The 19,350-nt window shown below is 43.4% G+C and overlaps 1 protein-coding gene across 1 annotated transcript in view, besides 2 other annotated features; it reads left to right on the top strand.

Moving 5' to 3' along the window:
• Positions 1 to 19,350, top strand: part of TMEM163 (transmembrane protein 163) — a 263,242-nt gene that overhangs the window by 232,000 nt on the left and 11,892 nt on the right. The window lies entirely within an intron of this gene.
• Positions 3,445 to 3,974: an enhancer, noted in NCBI's record as "H3K4me1 hESC enhancer chr2:135240598-135241127 (GRCh37/hg19 assembly coordinates)". NCBI's record gives its function as "activates a minimal SCP1, AML or CMV promoter by ChIP-STARR-seq in primed H9 embryonic stem cells {active_cell/tissue: H9 hESC(primed)}" and the evidence as "EXISTENCE:reporter gene assay evidence [ECO:0000049][PMID:30033119]".
• Positions 3,975 to 4,505: an enhancer, noted in NCBI's record as "H3K4me1 hESC enhancer chr2:135240067-135240597 (GRCh37/hg19 assembly coordinates)". NCBI's record gives its function as "activates a minimal SCP1, AML or CMV promoter by ChIP-STARR-seq in primed H9 embryonic stem cells {active_cell/tissue: H9 hESC(primed)}" and the evidence as "EXISTENCE:reporter gene assay evidence [ECO:0000049][PMID:30033119]".

Below are 19,350 nucleotides of genomic sequence, written 5' to 3'. Positions count from 1 at the left end.
TTAGTTATGTATATAGGTATTGAATTTTGAATACTTTTTCTGTTTATACTGAGATTTTCTTTTCCTTTAAGATGTGAATATTTCAAATTAATTGATATTCTAATAAGGCATCTTTGAATTCTTGGGATAAACCCTCTTTGGTCAAAGAGCATTATTCTTTCAGTCTATTGCTGGACTCAACCTACTATTTTGTTTGGAGTTTTGCATCTGTGCTTTTAAGTAACATTGGTCTAAAGTGCTTGTTCTTTGTACCACATGTAATGAACTAGGCAGCTTTTCTACTTTTCCGTGCCCTGGTGTACTGATTTTAACGTAAGAACTATCTATTCCTTTGAGTTTTAGTAGAATTTATCTGTAAAACCGGGCCTGTTACTTTTTGAAGATCCAATATATTTTATAGTTCATGTTTTTGTAAGAATTTTCAAATTTTGTTTCGACAGCAAATTTATTGCATTAAAGTTGCTCATATTACTTGTGATTTGTAAAATCTCGAATCCATCTGTATTTAGATGCCCTGTTTTGTTGCTAATAGTGTTTACTTGTGCTCTTGCTTTCTCTCTCAAGCAACCTTGCCCAAAGTTTGTATGTCCTCGTCTTTTCGAAGAAGTTTTTGAAGTGTTTGATTCTGTGGATCAGACCTGTTGATTTGCTTTCTAGATCTAAGCTCTCATCGTTAGTAGTGCCTTCCTTGTGTTTTGTTCACATTCGGTTTTGGGGGTGGGTAAATGAGCTTTAAGTTTGTTTATCTTTTTGGTTTTAGCAGTTGGCACTTAATTCTTTTTTCTGTTTTATTTTTAAATGAAAGGAGATAAAATATTCAATTATGTCAGGAGCTGGCAAAGGTATTTTGCATGAAGAGTGTTGTGCATAGAGCTTCTCCATATTGTATTTTTAGGTGTTAGGCATGGCTTTCAGATTCTGGCCTAACTTACACCCTGCCATGTGAGTACCTCTGATGGAGCCCTGATAGTTATAAATCTGAGAGTTCAGATGATTCTTCAGGCCTGATGGCCAACGAGTGCTTTCAAGGGGACTTTCTCATGGAGCAGGCCACAGGTGTGCTACCCAGTGTGAGGGGCATGTATCCCTGGTTATTCACTCCGACACCCAGCTGGATGTTGCTTTGAAGGTTTACTTGTTTACTTGTGCTCTTGCTTTCTCTCTCAAGCAAACTTGCCCAAAGTTTGTATGTCCTAGTGTTTCTGAAGAAGTGTTTGATTCTGTGGATCAGACCTGTTGATTTGCTTTCAAATCAACCTTCAATATGTAAGTATTCAATATATAGGCATTTTGCAGGTGTGATGAACATCTATGATCAGTTGTCTTTAAGTAAAGGAGATTATCCTTGATAATCTGGGTGAGCCTGATGCAGTCAGTTGAAGGCCCTAAGAACAGAACGAGGTTTCCCGGAGGAAGAAGAAATTGTGCCTCGGGCAGCAGCTTCAGCTTGTACCTGAGAACCCCCGCCTACCCTTCTTGCTGGTTGGGCCTGTGGACTTCAGACTCACTTACGCAGTTCCTGTAATCATACAAGCCGACTCCTTGTAATACGTTTCTAAATCTACTTATGGTCCCCAACTTACGATGGTTCCGCTTAGGATTTTTCAGCTTTACAAGGATGTGGAAGTGATATACATTCAGCAGAAACATACTTCAAGGACCCATGTAACCATTCTGTTTTTCACATTCAGTACAGTATTCAATGCATTACATGAGATATTCCATACTTGATTATAAAACAGGCTTTGTGTTAGATGATTTTGACCAACTATCAGCTAATGTAAGTGTTCTGGATACGTTTAGGCTAGGCTAAGCCAGGATGTTCAGTAGATTAGGTGTATTAAGTGCATTTTTAATTTGCAGTATTTTGAAATTACAATGGGTTTATCCGGACATAACCCCATTGTAAGTCAAGGAGCACCTGTGTATCTCTCACTGGTTCTCTTTCTCTGGTTGAACTGATTGATACGGCCAGAAATTACTGTCTTAAAATATTTTCCAAGTTTTTGTTTTTATCCAAGTTAGTCATATATATAATTTGAATAGCCATTTGTTCTACAAGGCTTATTATAGAAAGTAACTCTCTCCCTACAGCAGCCATTTATAACTCCTTTCAACCTCCACACCTCTAAGTAACATGTGCAGGTTGCTGCTGCTTGATTTTTTGTTATCAGCGTGATTTATGGACTTCCTACTCTGGTTGACCCTTTAACCATTCCCCCATTGCCAAATTACCCCTCTTCCCAGTATAGTTACATGTTATTTTGGTTAGATCAAGATTTAACATTGTTGTTATTGTTGTCATTGTTATTCATAGCTGAGCTCTGTAGTCTCCAGTGATTTGTCTTTTCCTTTCTTGCATTAGGTTTTGTGTTCCCTCTTCCTAATACATGGATATATACGTCAGTTACACACACAGGGGCCTCAGCCTCCTGAGTAGCTGGGACTACAGGCACATGCCACCACGCCTGGCTAATTTTTTTTAAATATTTCCTAGAGATGGGGTCTTGCTGTGTTGCTCAGGCTGGTTTTGAGTTCAAGTAATCCTCCCTCTTCAGCCTCCCAAAGTGCTGGAATTATGGGTGTAAGCCACCATGCTCAGCTTGTCTTCCAATTTCTAATGTTTTTGATATGACTAATGCCATTCTAATAATCCTTTGTTTAAAAGAGAAAAAAAAACTTGTGTTTTCTCTATGGAGCTTGTAAGATCTTCTGTTTGTCTTCGGTGTTCTGAGAATTTCGTTATTCGCCTTGGTGAGGGTGTTTTTTTTTCCTCCACGCGTTGTGCTAGGCACTCAGACCCTGACTGGAACCCATGTCCTTCAGTCCTGGTTTTGCCAAAAACACAAATTTTTCTTTTGAGAGGGATTCTTACCCTGTCAGCCAGGCTGGAGTGCAGTGGCTTGATCTCACTCACTGCAACATTCGTCTTCTGGGTTCAAGGGATTCTCCTGCCTCAACCTCTCCCGAGTAGCTGGGATTACAGGCACGCCACCACACCCAGCTAATTTTTTTGTATTGTAGAGATGAGGTTTTGCCATGTTGGCCAGGCTGGTCTCGAACTCCTGACCTCAGGTGATCCACCCACCTTGGCCTCCCAAAGTGCTGGGATTGGAGGCGTGAGCCACTGTGCCTGGCCCAAAATTGTTAATACTCTCAAAAATCATGTTTTCTCTGATCTACCATTTTGGGCTTCCTGTTGTTCAAATGCAGGGCCATCAGACAATGTTTTAAAAAAAGAGCGTCGTACATGTCTTTTTGGGTGTAAAGGGCAGTGGACTTTAGGTCAGACAGATGGGCGCTTGAATGCCTCCAGCATCTCTGACTAGCTGGGTGATCTTAAGGCCGGGGGGCAGGAGTGTTATTTAACTTTTTAGGGTCAGAATTTCCACCTCGCAGGGGTCTTGTGACAGTTATGTTTCAAATAAAATTGAATCATTTATTAAGCATTTGGAAAAGAGCCTCCTTTCTAATGGGCATTAAATAATAGTATGGGCTTGTGTTGTTATTACTGTAACTTAAGCAACTCTAGTTTGATACTGGGGTGTTGGTGTGGTGTTCATACCAATGCAGGGAGCAAAAGCAGGCAACCAGAGGTCCTACTTCTGTCATTGAGCAGAGTTCCTCAGGAATGGCGGTGCCTCTGTGTTGCGAGGGGCTTGATGAGGGGATGTTGTGCTTGGTCCTTTAAATGCCCGACGGCCACCAGGGGAGGGAGGTGTGTGAGCCCAGCCAGGGTGGCTCATCTCAGATTCCGTGGCAACCTTCAGGGGTTGGAGGGCTTGTCCCCGAGACTCTGATTCCTTCTCTTGTATCAGAAAACAGCAAACTGACGGTGCTTCCTTGACCAGAAGCTGGGCTATGTCTTGGAAGAGGCAGCCAAGCGCCTCAGAGTGCCCTCATTGTCACGGAGCTGGTCGTAGCCCTCGGCCGCTGCTGCCTTACCTTTTGCTGTGGCTTCCTGTGACCCTGCCAGCCTCAGCTTTGTGGTGCCCCTGGAGCTGAGTGTCTGCTCCCTTCTCGGTGCTCTGCAGGGCCTCACCTGGCAGGTTGGCCAGCCGGCCAGAAAATGCCGGGGACCAAGGCACCCCAGTCTGCTGGGAAGCCCACCGACGAACCTGATGTCTCTTGGCTGGGGAACTTTCTGGCTGCTCACCTGCTTGTCTAAACATCAACTCTTGACCCTCCAGACATCAAAATGGTCTGATGCTAATTTAAAAATTGTAAAGCCATTGAATGTGAATCCACGGTAACTTGTCAATATAATTTAATAACCAGGGGAAATGGAGGGCTCAGGCTTGGCGAAATTTCCTCTACATCTGCCAGCTTTTCTCATCTGCTGGTTGGGGGTGGGGAAAGTGGTGATGAAAAGTTCTCAAGACAAGAGTGACTGTTTCAATTTCACCTGGGGCCATAAATCAATATTCATTTACTATTCAGCCAGCATTAGCATTTCCCTGGGTAATACTCTAACACATGTAGTGTCAGGATGGCTTGAATTTGTCCTCATTAGGAAGGCAGAGGACGCCTTTTTGCAGGCATAAGCAAGTGAGCCTCCTATTCCGCTTGCTGGCTCACATCTCATGAAAAAGGAAGTGTTGGTCTTTAGGGGAAAGGGTGGGTTGGGATTTCAGACATGGTCTCTGCTCAGTGTCAGTGGCCACAGTTCATCGTGACCTGGGTTTATGACTGCTGGTGTCACCCTTGATGAGGAATAAGCTTAAAGTGGGAGGTGACAACTGGCCCTGCAGAAAAGCATTTTATTTCTACATGAGGTTTTTCTGTGAGCAACACCATTAATAACAACTCATCGTTGTCTTATCTTTGAGATGAGACTGTATGGGAAAATGGGGGTGGTGGCGAGGACAGAGAAACTTGATGTCACAATGTTGGAAACTGCTATTGGCTGATGACCAGCTAGAAACATTTTCTTTGAAGATGAGAATTAATCAGGAGGTGGAATTTTATTTACAGATGCTCACTCTCACCGCCACCTCCATTTTGGTATATGGAGTATCAGGTGGGAGTGATGGGGAGAGATGGTGGGGTTCATTCCTGCTGAGCACGTTGGAGGAGGTGGAAGGTCGCCTTGAGACATCCTGACCCCCGAGGTCTTGCTCTGTGAGTGGACCAGCCATCTTCAAGGCTGCTTGTGGACTTTGACGGGAGAAATGGTTCTCACAGCACTTTCATCTCAGCTCATGTCACTCTGATATTTTGACCTGAATGTGTAGATGTCATGAAGGGAGATGATCTCCTACATAATGAGGGAGCATTAGACCCCATCAGCTTCCCTCCTATTCCTTCCCCTGTCCTTGCATCAACAACGGCCCAACTCCATTGGGAACTGAAATAAAAAAGCCTAGTATATTAGTCCATTTTCACGCTGCTGATAAAGACATACCGGAGACTGGGTAATTTACAAGGAAAAAGAGGTTTAATGGACTCACAGTTCCATGTGGCTGGGGAGGCCTCACAATCATGGTGGAAGGTGAAAGGCACGCCTCACATTGCAGCAGATAAGAGAGCTTGTGCAGGAAAACTCCCCTTTATAAAACCATCAGATCTCTTGAGACTTGTTCACTATCAGGAGAATAGCACAGGAAAAGCTCCCCCCCCCCCCATGATTCAATTACCTCCCACTAGGTCTGTCCCACAACACATGGGAATTGTGGTAGTTACAGTTCAAGATGAGATGTGGGTGGAAATGTAGCCAAATCATATCACCTGGTGTCGATGGGAAGCATTTAGATGGAATTATAATAAACCTGTCGGGGGAGGGCCATGAAACAAATAGCTAGAGTAAGACTCCAGGATGATACAGAATCAACAGCTGATGTCTGCAACAAGATGGATGAATCTCAAAAACATGATGTTGACAAACGAAGTCTAAGTCCCCCTCCCCCACCAAATTCATACTGTGTGATTCCACTTATATAAAATCCAAGAGTAGAAGAAATTAATCCATGGTGATTGTAGTCAGAATGTGGTTGCAGGGGTCTGAGAAAGGGACGTGAAGGAACTTCGGGGGTCATGGAAATATTCTGTTTTGTTTTGCAGATGGTTAAACTGGTATTACCATTGACAGAATTTATCAAATTCAACATTTAAAATCTGTACCTTTATTGTATGCTAATTACACCTCAATAAAAAAGTATATAATAATTAAAAAACTCTTAATCCCTAGATACATTTTGGAGGCAGGGTGTTAGTCGAGCACAATGAGTTTTATTCCTGTGACTTGCCAAATCCCAGGTCCCCTCTCCTTGCCTAACTCCTTTTTGACTATTTGCCAGGTCACTGTCTCCCACGGCTCCCGTTCTTCAGTTGTCTGCACCACTTTCTAGCCACTGACTGCTTTATCCCAAGGTCAGAGGGAAAAACCAACTTGTTCCTAAATCAGTGTGATCTAATAAAACTTTCTGTGGTCATGGGAATGTTCTATGTCTACACTCTTGAGTATGATAGCCTGTAGCCATATTGAGCACTTAATTGTGGCTAATCAAATGAGGAACTGAGTGCTTAATTTTATTAATTTTAAATTTAAGCACATGTGTATAAATGTGAAAAGTGCTATTAAAAAAAAGAAGAAAGATCGGGGGTGAGGAGTGATTGCAGTCAGGGACCACCTCACTGAGAAGCTGACACTTGAGCAGAGAGATGACACAGTGAGCCCTGTGGCTGTGTGGAACCTCCAGGCAGAGAGAGTGGCATGTGCAAAGGCCCTGGGGTAGGAGCCTGCCAGTCATACTTGAGGAACAGAGGAGGCAGGGCAGCTGGAACAGAGTGAGAAAAGGGGAGAGTGTTAGGAGGTGAGGGCAGAGGAGTCCCCTTTATCCAGCTGGTTTGGTTGGGGTTGGCTTTTCTGCAAGGAGCTGGAAAAGACCGTGTCTTATAATGTACACCAGGTCATGGGCACACTTATCTACCAATTTGCAAGACTGCGTATGGGGCAGTGCAGGGGCTGTGTGTCTTCCAGGAGAAAAGCTGACCTGGTCTGGCTGACCAAGGTCTCCTGAGCTAGTGTATGATAACCCACATCACAGGTCAGCACGAGAATCCTCACCCAGATCAGATTTTGTCAGCTCTCCCCTAATTGCCTTTGAATCCTAAAATTAGGCCTGTGGCTTTCGCCACATTCCAGCCTGGCTGAGAGAAGTGGAAGCAGCAGGGTGGGTAGCATCAGGCCTCCTAATCAGAGCTGGAGGATGGTTGGGAGCCCTGAGCTTGGGACACAGCTCTGTCACTGTCTCTCTGCTGTCTCTGGGGGAGTTACCTCATTTTTACAAGCCTGAACATGCCTCAGTTTTATCACCTGTGGCATGAATTAGGTGCCCCCTAAGCCCTTTATCCTTTCTAATGCTGTATGGTTTTAAGACCACCTCACGTTTGTACAGAAGGGATGCTCGCCCTTATCTGTGGGGGTCAGATTTGGGGCCCCAGGGATGTGTGTTTCCACAACTTGTTCTCTGAGATGACAGGATTAGTATTGGTATACACCAAAACATTTGGGATGTAATGCTTTTTATACCCCAGGGGTCCGTCAGGTTCTTGGAATCCCTGTATAAACATTTTGTTCAATAGGGTAAAGGTGTTGTTTTTCACACTTTGGGGCAATGAAGTTGGAAAATTCAAATCTAAGCATTACTAGCTCTTGGAAAAGACATTCCACTCAGATGCACTGGTCATTGGCTTTTGTCCCACACAGTCTGGAATGCAGGGGGCATGTTGGGAGAAGGGTGAACTGGCATCTTCTACGCTTCCCTGAAGTTTGGGCTGCAGGACTGTCTTAGTTCATTCAGGCTGCTATCACCGAATGCCATAGACTGGGCAGCTTACAAACAACAGAAATGGATCTTTCATGGTTCTGGAGGTTGGGAGGTTCAAGATCCAGTTACCAGCAGATTTGGTGTCTTGTGAGGGCCTGCCTCCAGGTTCATCAATGGCTGTCTTCTCACTGTGTTCTCACATGGGGAAGAAGCAAGGATGTCCTTTGGGGTCTCTCTTATGAGGAAGGGCACTAATCCCCAGAACTGACCCCTTCCACCCCAGGATGAGGGGAGCAGTATCCCAAGGCTGCATAAGGCAGCAAGAGCCCTGGGCCTGGATCCCAAAATGATTCTTTCCTCTGAGGCCTCTGGGGCTGCGATGAGAGGGGCTGACTTGAAGATTTCTCAAGTGCCTTCAAGGCCTTTTTCCCCATTTTCTTGGCTATGAACACCTGGCTCCCTTTCAGTCCTGCTAATCTCTCTAGCAAGTAGTTGCTCCACAGGCTGCTTGGATTCCTTCCCTACCATGGGCCCAGGCTGCAAATTTTGCAAACTTTTAACACTCTGCTTCCCTTTTAATTTTAAGTTCAGCTTTAGTTAGATGCAGCCACACCATCTCTTGAATGCTTTGCTGTTTAGAAGTTTCTTCAACCTACATACCTTAAGTCATCACTCTTAAGTTCAAACTTCCACAGATTCCTAGGGCACAAACACAAAGCAGCTAAGTTCTCTGCTAAGGCATACGTGGGCAATCTTCACTCCAGTTCCCAATAACTTCCTTGTTTCCATCTGAGACCTCTTCAGCCTGGCCTTCACTGCCCATATTTTTATGAGCATTATGGTCACAACTATTTAACAGTCTCTAAGAAATTCCAAACTTTCCCTTCTAGTCTTCTCCTGAGCCCTCCAAATTCTTCCAACCTCTGCCCATTACCCAATTCCAAAGCTGCTTCCACATTTTCAGGTATCTTAAAAGAAATACCTGATGCTAGGTAATTTATAAAGAAAACAGGTTTAACTGACTCATGGTTCTACAGGCTGTATAATCATGGCACCAACATCTGCTGGACTTCTAGTGAGGGCCTGAGGATGCTTACAATCATGGTAGAAGGTAAAGGGCAAAGCCAAGGAATCACACGGTGAGAGCAGTAGCAAGAGTGGGAACAAGGAGGTTCCAGACTTTTAAACAATCAGATCTCACATGAAATAACTTGATAATAATCCCACTATCAAGAGGATGGTGCCAAACCATTCATGAGGGATCTGCCCCCATGATCAAGTCACCTCCCACCAGGCCCCACCTCCAACATTTGGAATCACATTTCAACATGAGATTTGGAGAGGACAAACATCCAAACCATATCAACAAACCTGTCCATTCCACATCTTGTACAGCTTCACCACTCTGTGGGATGGGAGGGACAGAAAAGTGCTATGAGGTCCATGTTCTTCCATTTCAATAGGTATGACCTTGGGTTGATAATTCATCACAGACTTCCTTGTTGGTGCTTATCCAATATTTTCTTTCTTGCTCTCTTTGAAAAAAATCTTACTTTCTAGGCCTTCATGGTATGTTTTCTCATCTGAAGATTACTATCTTAAAAGCAAAAGCTATGCTTACTCTTTGCTTCTTGTAAAACACTTCAGCCTATACACTGGTGCTCAGTGAGTCTTTATTGATGTCATTGATTGAAGTATTTGGATTGTCCAGAAATTTCCCATTCCACATGGCTATGATACATACTAAACACTCTCATGAAGTCCAGGTTAGCAAACTGACGGTTCCTGAAAGGTGGGACTTACCAAATTCCACCCTGCACATCATGTATATACCATGCTTCTTATTCACTCCAACGTGGCACATTTCTCTGCCACAGCTTTTAAACAAACAGATCGCACTATGGTACAGTTAGTGGCTTATGTGTCTATCTCTCTAACTAGGTTGTAAGTTCCTTGAGAGTAAAATGGCATCACATTTATGTCTATCTCCCTAGAAATTCACCCAGTACCTCCTGCATAGTGCTTCCCAAGTGCTCTGTCAGAGCCAGCAGTGCGACTGACACTGGACACGTGCCGGACAACAAATGAGCAACACAACGTTCTCCCTGACATAGAGCTCACAGGCAGATAAGAAGGAGGGGTGGGTGAGCCAAAGACTACGAGATGCTGCAGCAAGTGCTAAACGTAGGTGTGGTGTGCAGTCTTCAGTGGGAAGAGGGTTCCTACTCAGCCTGGAGGAGTCAGACAAGGTTTTCCAGAGAAGTTGATGATAAAGAGGAAACTTGTTGAAGGAGTAAACAGAAGGCACTCAACTGGGGTTTACTAAGTTGAATTGAACATGAGGCATGGCAGTGATGATAATCATGTAGAACCCAGGCTTCTGCAGGCCATACTACAGGGTCAGTGAGAACACTGATGGGCTGTCAGGAAAAGCTTAATAGAGGATAAAACACTTGAGATGTCTAGAAAAAGGAGTGTTTACCCACATCCATAGGAAGCTCCTGAGACTTAAAGCCAGCCCTCCAGGTCCATGTTCCACCACTGACCTCTAAGCCTCTGATTTAATCTTTACAACGACTGTGGTTTGATCTGTGTCCTTTACTGTACATTCCAATAATGGACATTAGGAACATCATGAACATTACTATGTACATGATCATACCAGCTTATGTGTATAAGCTGAATTATGTAAATGTCAGTAATTATCACCTAAGAATCCCTGAGATAAATAGTATTTTTTAAAACAATTAGTTTTATTGAGATATAATGTACATACAATAAAATTCACCCTTTAAGTACGCAACTTGATGAGTTTTGACAGATGTGTATTGTCACAGAACTACCACCACAATGAAGATATAGAATATTTCCATCATCCCCAGAATGATCCCTCCTGCCCCTTTGCTGTCATTAATCACCTCCTCTCCCCAGCTAGTCTGCTTTCTGTTACTTTAGGTTCCCTTTTCTGCAGTCATATAAATGAAATAGTTCAGTATTTAGTCTCTTGTGTCTATCTTCTTTTATTTAGCATAATGCTTTTGAAATGCAGCCCTATTCTTGCTGAACATATCTGTGGTTCATTCTTATTTATTGCTGAGTAATATTCTGTTGTCTGGACAGATGACAGTTTGTTATTCCATTCACCAGTAGTTGGACATTTAGGTTATTTCCAGTTTTTGACTATTATGAAATTAGCAGCTGAGAACACTGGTGTGCAAGTCTTCGTGTGGACGTATGCCTTCATTTCTCTTGGAGTAGAATTGCTGAATCCTATGGTAAGTCTATATTTAATTTCATAAGGAATGGCCAATCTCTTTTACGAAATGACTGTACCATTTTACATTCTCACCAGCAACATATGAGAGTTCCAGTTGCTGTACATCCTCACATACTTGGTATTATGTGTTTTCTTTTTTTTAATTTTGGTGATTCTAATGAGTATGTAGTGGTCACTTACAGTGGTTTCCATGTACTTTTCCCTGTTGACCAATAATGTTGATTATCTTTATTTGTGCTTATTTGCTGTTCTTACATCTTATTTGGTAAAGTGTTTAAATTTTTGCCTTCTGTTTTAATTGAGTCATCTGTTTTCTTACTGAGATGTAGAAATTATTAAATATTCTGGATACCAGTTCTGTATCAGATATGTTTTACAATTTTTTTTTCTGTATCATGGCTTGCCTTCATTTTCTTAATAGTCTTTCAAGGAGCAAAAGTTTTAATTTTGATAAAGTCTAATTAATCACAGTTTTCTTAATGATTAGTGCTTGTTTTTTGTCATAGGAAATATTTTGCCTAACCCAAGGTCATACATAATTTAGTTTTACAGTTTTAGCTTCACTTTGAGATCTGCAGTCCATCTAAAATTAAAATTTATATATAGTGTGAAATAAGGATCAGGATTTATTTCTTTCTGTACACATATCCAATTGTTCTAGTGCTGTTAGTTGTAAAGACTTTACATTTTCCACTGGATTGCTTTTGTGCTTTTGTCTAAAACTAAATGACTATATCTGAGAGTGGGATGATTTCTAGGCTATTTTGTTCTGTTGATCTGTATGTCTGTCTGGCTTTATGACAGTATTACTTCTTGATTACAATAGCTTCATAATAAATCAGTTTGGAAATGACTTATTTCATAAATCAAATAAGGAAAGGCCTTGTGTAAACCTTTGAAACTTGTTCTTTTTCAAAATCACTTTACTTATTGTAAGCCCTTTCATTTACACATAACTTTTAAAATCAACTTGTCCATTTTTATTTCTTTAAAAAAGCCTGCTGGGATTTGGCTTAGGGTGGCTTTTGCATCCAGATCGGTTTGGGGAGAACTAACGTTTTAATAATAATTGAACACAGTATATCTTTCCATGTACTAAAATCTTTTAATTTATCTCCGTAATATTTTGTAGTTTTCAGTGCACAGGTCTTACATGTAAAATTTATCACTGAGTATTTAGTATTTTTGTGCTACTTTAAATAGTATTTCCAAAAACTCCATATTTCTAGCTAGTGTACAGAAATACAGTTGAGTTTTACTTGCTAACTTGGTATGTGGTCTTATTAAACTCACTTATAGTTCTAATAAGTATGTTTTGTGTGTGGGAGGAATGGTAAATTAGTGAGGGTTTTCAAAATAGAAAATTATGTAGTCTGTAAATAAAAATGGCTTTACTTCTTTCTTTTCTATCTGTATACTGGCTATTCCCTCCTAATCAGAGTCAAATGGAAGTAATGAAAGTAGATGTCCTTGCCTTTTTCCTGATCTTAGGAGTAACATTCATTTTTTCACCGTTGGTTGATATTAGTTGTAGGTTTTTCCTAGATACCATTTATCAGGTTGAGGAAATTCCTTTCCATTCCTAGAGTGCTGAGAAGTCTTTGGCTTCCTCTGTTTCTCCTTCCCTTCTCCATGAGTGGGTAGTGACACATTTGACACATCAAATGCTTTTTCTGCATCTATTGAGATGATTATATGGGCTTTCTTTTTGTTCTGTCAATATGGGAAATTGCTTTGATTGATATTTGAATGTTTAATCAATATTGGTTCCCCAGGATAAACCCCGTTTGGTCATGTTGTATTATCCTTTTTATATATTGCTGAATTTGTGTTGCTGATACTTTGTTGAGGACTTTTAAGTCTGATTCATGAGAGCTATTGGTCTGTAGTTTTCTTGTGATGCTTCTGCTTTTAGTGTCATGGTAATGCTGGCCTCAGAAATAAATTGGGAAGTGTTTCTTCTTTATCTTTTTTTTTCTGAAAGAGATGTTTTAGAATTGGTTATTTCTCCTTTAAATGATTAAATGTTTGGCAGATTTGCCAGTAAAAGCATTGGGGCCTGAAGTTTTGTGAGAAGGATTTTCACTACAGTTTCAAGGTCTTCGGTTGATACAGGGTTCTTCAGGTTATCTACTTCTTGGATGACGTTTGATTTGTCTATTTCTTCTAAGTTGTCAAATTTATTGGCATCAAGTTGGTTATATCTCCTTGTTATCTTCTTAATAGATCCTGTTGGATCTGTAGTGATGTACCTTCTCTCATTCCTGATATTGGTAACATGTGTCCTCTTTCTTCTAGATGAGTCCTGGAGGTTTATCCTACATTACTGATCTTTATCAAGGTCTTTGGTTTTATTGATTCTTCTCTACTGTTTATTCATTTTCTGTCTCATTGGTTTCTTTTTCTTTTTTTTTTTTTTGAGACAGAGTTTCACTCTTGTTGCACAGGCTAGAGTGCAATGGTGTGATCTTGGGTCACTGCAACCTCTGCCTCCCTGGTTCAAGTGATTCTCCTGCCTCAGCCTCTCATGTAGCTGGGATTACAGGTGTGAGGCACCACACCCAGCTAATTTTGTATTTTTAGTAGAGACAGGGTTTCCCCATGTTGGTCAGGCTGGTCTCGAACTCCTGACCTCAAGTGATCCACCTGCCTCGGACTCCCAAAGTCCTGGGATTACAGTTGTGAGCCACCGCACCTGGTCTGTCTCATTGATTTCTGCTCATAAGTTTATTATTTCTTTCCTTCTCCTTACTTTGGGATTAATTTGATTTTCTTTTAATTTTTTCTTAAAGGCAAAGCTCAGATCATTGATATTAGGCCTTTTAAACATTTTTAAGTACATTATTTACTATAAATTTTCCTCTTAGCTCTGCTTTTGCTGCATACCACTAATTTCAGTATACTGTTGTTCTACTTTATTTCACTTCAAAATATATTGTAATTTCCCTGGTGACTTATTCTTTGATTCATGAGTTTTTAAGAAGTGGGTTGTTTTATTGTTTAGTTTCCAAATACTAGAATATTCTAGATATCATCCTGTTACTGATTTCTAGTTTAATCCCATTGTCAGAGAATATGCCTTGTATAATTCAGTTTTTTAATTGGTTGACATCTTTTTAATGGCATAGAATGTGATCTACATTAATATTACATTTAAAAAGAATGTGTGTCCTGCCTTTGTAGGGTAGATGTTCCGTAAATGTCAGGCAAAGCTGGTTGATCATGTTGTTGAAGTCTTCTGTTTACTGACTTTCTGTTAGTTTGTTCTATCAGTTATGTAAAAGTGTTTTCATTGCTGTAATGAATGGCCCATATGTGCCGTCATTTGCATACATGTACAGGTATAGCAGTAAGATAAATTCACATAAGTGGGTGGCTTGCTCAAAGGGTAGATGTGTACTTTTCAGAGAAATTGTCAAATTGTTCTCTGTACAGGTTGGACCATTTTGCACTGCCACCAGAATTGTATGAGAGACTGTTTTCTCATAGCCTTGTAATATTTTTGGTTAGATAAAAAGGATCTTACTATAGTTTTGGCTTTCATTTCTTTTATGAGCATTTGAGCCTTTTTCATATGTTTAAAATTTATGTTATTTTTAACTGTCTCTCACATATATCTTTGTCCATTTTCTCTTTGTTGGTCTTTTTCCTCTAGATTTCCATGAGCCCTTTCTATAGTAAGGAGATTAACCCTTTGTGATAACCCTTTTCCTAGTTTGTATTTGATCTTTCCCCTGAATATGTCTTAACTTCTCTCTAGTCAAGTATATCAATCTTTTATGGCTTTGCTACTACAAGATGTTGAAGGAGCTTGCCAGCATGGACAAAATTTATGTGGAGTTTACCTTTAATGTACATTTATACTTGGCTTTGAATGAGTGGCTAATTTCCTTAAACCTTTTTGTCATAATCTTCCATCAATCAGTGAAGATTCAACTGTGAGAAATTATAGAGACACAGTGCTGGTAACAGCAGGAACTGAATGCCCAGCAAGGAAATCGCTGTTGCTGTTTTCACGGAGTCCACTGTTGAGGGACATGAGAGATGATGATAAGGCCTTAGATGAGGCAACCTGGTAGAGTTTACAGCTGGGAACAATTCCAGGTCCTGCCACTGCAGAGTGACCCTGGGAAAGTCATTTAGCCTCTCTCCAACTGTTTATGCATCTGTCAGACGCCCACTCTGACAGTGCTGAGAATTCAGTGGCATGGTAGGTGCGGCCGCACCTTGAGAGGAGTCAGTGGTGGAACAGCCTACACGTGTTATGGTTTCTCATCATCAGCCATGTCTCCATGTCTGCTGTGGCTTCCTGACTCTCTGAAAGGAATCTTCTCAGAAACTTCCTTTTATTAAACTTAGAGACTGTCTTAGCTTGGGGTGCCAAAGACAAATGTCGTAGACTAGGTGGCTTAAAAAACAGGAATTTCATCTTCACAGTTCTGGAGACTGAAGTCCACAATGAATGTGCCAGCAGAGTCAGCATCTGGTGAGGGATCCTTCCTTGGGTTACAGATGGCTGCCTTCTCACTGTGTCCTCATGTGTCCTCATGTGGCCTTTCCTTGGTGCACGTCGGTGGTGGGGAAAAAGATCTTCTGTTTTCTTATAAGGGTACTAGTCTCATTATGAGGTCCCCCTATGACCTAATCTAACCCTAATTATCTTTCAAAGGCCCCCTCTCCAAATACTATCACATTGGGGTTAGGGCTTCAACATATGAATTTTGTAGGAACACAGACATCTAGTCCATAACAGGGACTGATGTCTTTTTAAACATAGTTTTATTAGGTAGAGTCTCACTCTATTGCCCAGGCTGGAGTGCAGTGGCACTATTATAGCTCACTGCAGTCTCAACCTCCTGGCCTCAAGTGATCCACTTGCTTCAGCCTCCTGAGTAGCTGGGGCTACAAGCATGTGCCACTATGCCTGGCTAATATTTACATTTTTTGTAGAGACCAGGTCTCGCTATGTTGCCCAGGCTGGTGTTGAACTCTTGGCTTCAAGTGTTCTTCCCGCCTCGGCCTCTCAAAGCACTGGGATTCCAGGCATGAGCCACCATGCCCAGCCAGGTACTGATGTCTTGAGCAGGCTGCTGACTGCATCTCTGTGACATTCTGTTCATGCCAACAGTCAACATGGCAGCCGTGTGGAGAGAGGAGCACGTGCACCGCAGGAGAGCCATCTGGGCCTGGGTAGGGTAATCACAGAGCTTTCAGGACATTGAAAGCTGGTTTTGGGAGAGGAGCTTTGGCAGGTCTGTGCCAGCCTGGATCCTCCTTGGGTTCCTCCGCAGGGTTCATCTGTTTCTGAGGCAGATCCACTCAGCAGTGGTGAGCTGCAGCCTGCAGCTTTGCGTGACACTCAGAGATGGCCCCAGACTCTGTTCCTCTACAGGGAAAGGTAATTGCTCTCTCAGAGCCAGTCCTAGGAGCAAAGGGTGGCTGGTAGAAATAACCCATGCTCAGAAAAAGCCTGCATTTTGCATCTTGGCTTCTCTACATTAAAAAACTTAGCTTCCCAATACTAATATAGCATTCACTCTGTGCCGGGCCCTGTTTGACCCCATGACACATCCGTATGAAGTTTTTTTTTTTTTTTTTGAGACGGAGTCTCACTCTGTCACCCAGGCTGGAGTGCAGTGGCGCTATCTCAGCTCACTGCAAGCTCCACCTCCCGGGTTCACACAATTCTCCTGCCTCAGCCTCCCGAGTAGCTAGGACTACAGGCGCCCGCCACCGCGCCCAGCTAATTTTTTGTATTTTTAGTAGAGACGAGGTTTCACTGTGTTAGTCAGGATGGTCTTGATCTCCTGACCTCGTGATCCGCCTGCCTCAGCCTCCCAAAGTGCTAGGATTACAGGCGTGAGCCACCGCGCCCAGCCTCGTATGAAGTTTTATGGTAGGGTTCAGGCAGGGAAGCAAACCCCTCTAAGTGATGCAGAATAGGGGTTTGTGGCAGGGGTGCGACTTTCCACATGGTGGTTGCTGGTGCCGACGTCCTGGTAAAGCGGTTGCCTCTGAGTGTGGTGTTGGTCTGAAGTCAGCAGCCGTGCAGTCAGGAAAGAAGGCTGGGCAAAGAGAAAGGCGCAAGGACAAACTGGCGCCCATGAAGATGGCCTGGACCTGTACGTGACCCTCACTGTCTCAGCCTCCATGACATTGGGCATCCTGCAGAAGAAGCTGGCGCCTTTGCCACAGAGCTATATGCACGCCTGGCTTATGACTCAGCGAAGCTGGAGCGGGGAGATGCAGCAGGAGCGGAGAATCCATGGGCTCGGTGCGGCCCCTCTCTCCCCTGGGCGAGCCCGTGGAGCCACAGAATGCAGAATGTGCCTGGCTGAGCTGCGGCAGCACCGGAGCCGCTTCACCTCCACCTTTCACTCATGCAGATGTCTCTGGGAGTCAGCTTCAACTGGGAACCACGTAGGAAGGAAATTCTGGGCAACGTAGTTCCAGTTGAGCTCTGTGCACGCAGTATATGCAGCCACCGTGAGGGAGTCTGTTATTTTTTTCCACTTTATAGGTAGGACAGTGGAGGGAGGGAGGGGTTAAGTGACCTGCCCAGAGTCACCTAGCTAGTAAGTGGGACTCCCGCTTCAGTGCTTTTGAAGCTGCCACCCAGTGCTTCTACTTTTTCGCTCCAGGAAGCCCACCCGAGTCCTCCAGGAGCTGGACCTCGGGGCCCTCCGGTCCATCGAGAGCTCCCCCGAGATGAAGCCTCCCAGGTACAGGAAACTTCCCGCACAGCCCCTGGATAGGCCGCGGTGGAGCTCAGTCCTGGTCTCTTGGAAGTTGAAGTTTCTTTATGTTTCACCATGCATACTTATTTCTCGGTGACAAGCTTCCTGTGTCTCTCTTACGAGAATGCTGACCAGGCTTGTCTGGGGCTCACCGTGAGCACCCGATGCGGCTGGCAGGTGGAGGACGTTTGTGTGTGGATCATGTGTTTGGGCCCCTTCACAACAACTCGTACCTTTTACTGCCAGCTGCTGCCAGGGGCTGTAGGCATCCCACTGCCGCTTACAGAGATCCAAGTGTTTGTTTCCCAGTAAGCCATGGAGTTTAGAGTTGAGCAAAGGCCTGCCTGGCACACGACTGCCACTGGGTCGGCCGAGCCCTGGGTCTGCAGCTCCCTTTAGGAGCTGGAGGAAGGGCCACCAAAGCCATGGGTGGCGTTTCTTGAGCTGCATCTCAGGGTGGGGCAGCACACCCCAGGCCCTGTGCCCTAGGGGCCTAGATGGGGTAAGCACAGATTTTCTCTACCGCTGGAAACTTAGGGAGGAGGGCTTTGCAAACAGCGACTGAATGGAGCCAAAGGGGATTCAGGCATCATGGGATAAGCAAAGTGAGTATTCAGTCTCCAAATCTGAGACCTCAAAGTTCTTGAATTTCCTGACTGCCTCAGTCTCCCAGCCTATGCTTCCTGAGTCCTGTTAGCACCTGGGGCTGTTGACATGCAATTCTTTGGTCATGTGTCTTAGTCAGTTCTAGCTGTTATAACAAAACACCACAGACTGGGTGGCTTATAAACCACAGACACTTCCATCTCACAGTTCTGGAGGCTGGGAGTCCAAGACAAGGTGCCAGCAGATTCAGTGCCTGGTGGGGCCCCTTTTCCTGGTTCATGAGATGGTGGCTTCTTCCTGTGTCCTCACATGCGGAGGGGGCAAGCTGGCACTATGGGACCTCTTTTATAAGGGCACTCATTCCATTAGTGAGGGCTCTGTCCTTGCAGCCTAATCACCTCCCAGAGGCCCCACCTCCTCATACCGTCACCCTGGCAATTAGGTTTCCATGTGTGAATTTTGGAGGGACACATACTCAGATTGTAGCATCATGTTCACCTTATTTTCTGTGGGTGCTGTCTCCTGGACTTAGGCTGAGTCCTGCACAAAGAGAGCTTCCATGTGGGGCTCCTGACCCCCTCCCACTGTGTCCCCTGCTGTGTAACCTCTGCATAGGAGGGACTGAAGAGTTGTCAAGAGGCCTGGTTTGGGACGGTCCTTACTGGTCATTTGAGGAGGTAAAACTTCCGTGAGGTGATTACTTTAAATAAGCTTTTAAATGTGAAATAATTTTAGATTAATAGAAGAGTTTTACAGATAGTACAGAGAGTGCCCATATCCCCTCCATCCAGCCTGACCTACTGTTAACATCGCACACAGCCACGGCAAATTAATCTCTACCATGAGATGACAGCACTATTCACGAAACCCTAGACTTTCTTCTCATGTCCCCGGTTTTCCCACTGATGACCTTTTTGTGTTCCAGGATCCAGTCTGGATGCCATGCTGCATTTACTTGTCA

This window comes from Homo sapiens, chromosome 2, assembly GCF_000001405.40.
Source record: "Homo sapiens chromosome 2, GRCh38.p14 Primary Assembly".
Classification (NCBI taxonomy): domain Eukaryota; kingdom Metazoa; phylum Chordata; class Mammalia; order Primates; family Hominidae; genus Homo; species Homo sapiens.
Note: the sequence above shows the minus strand (reverse complement) of the source record. Positions and strands in the feature narration are given on the sequence as shown.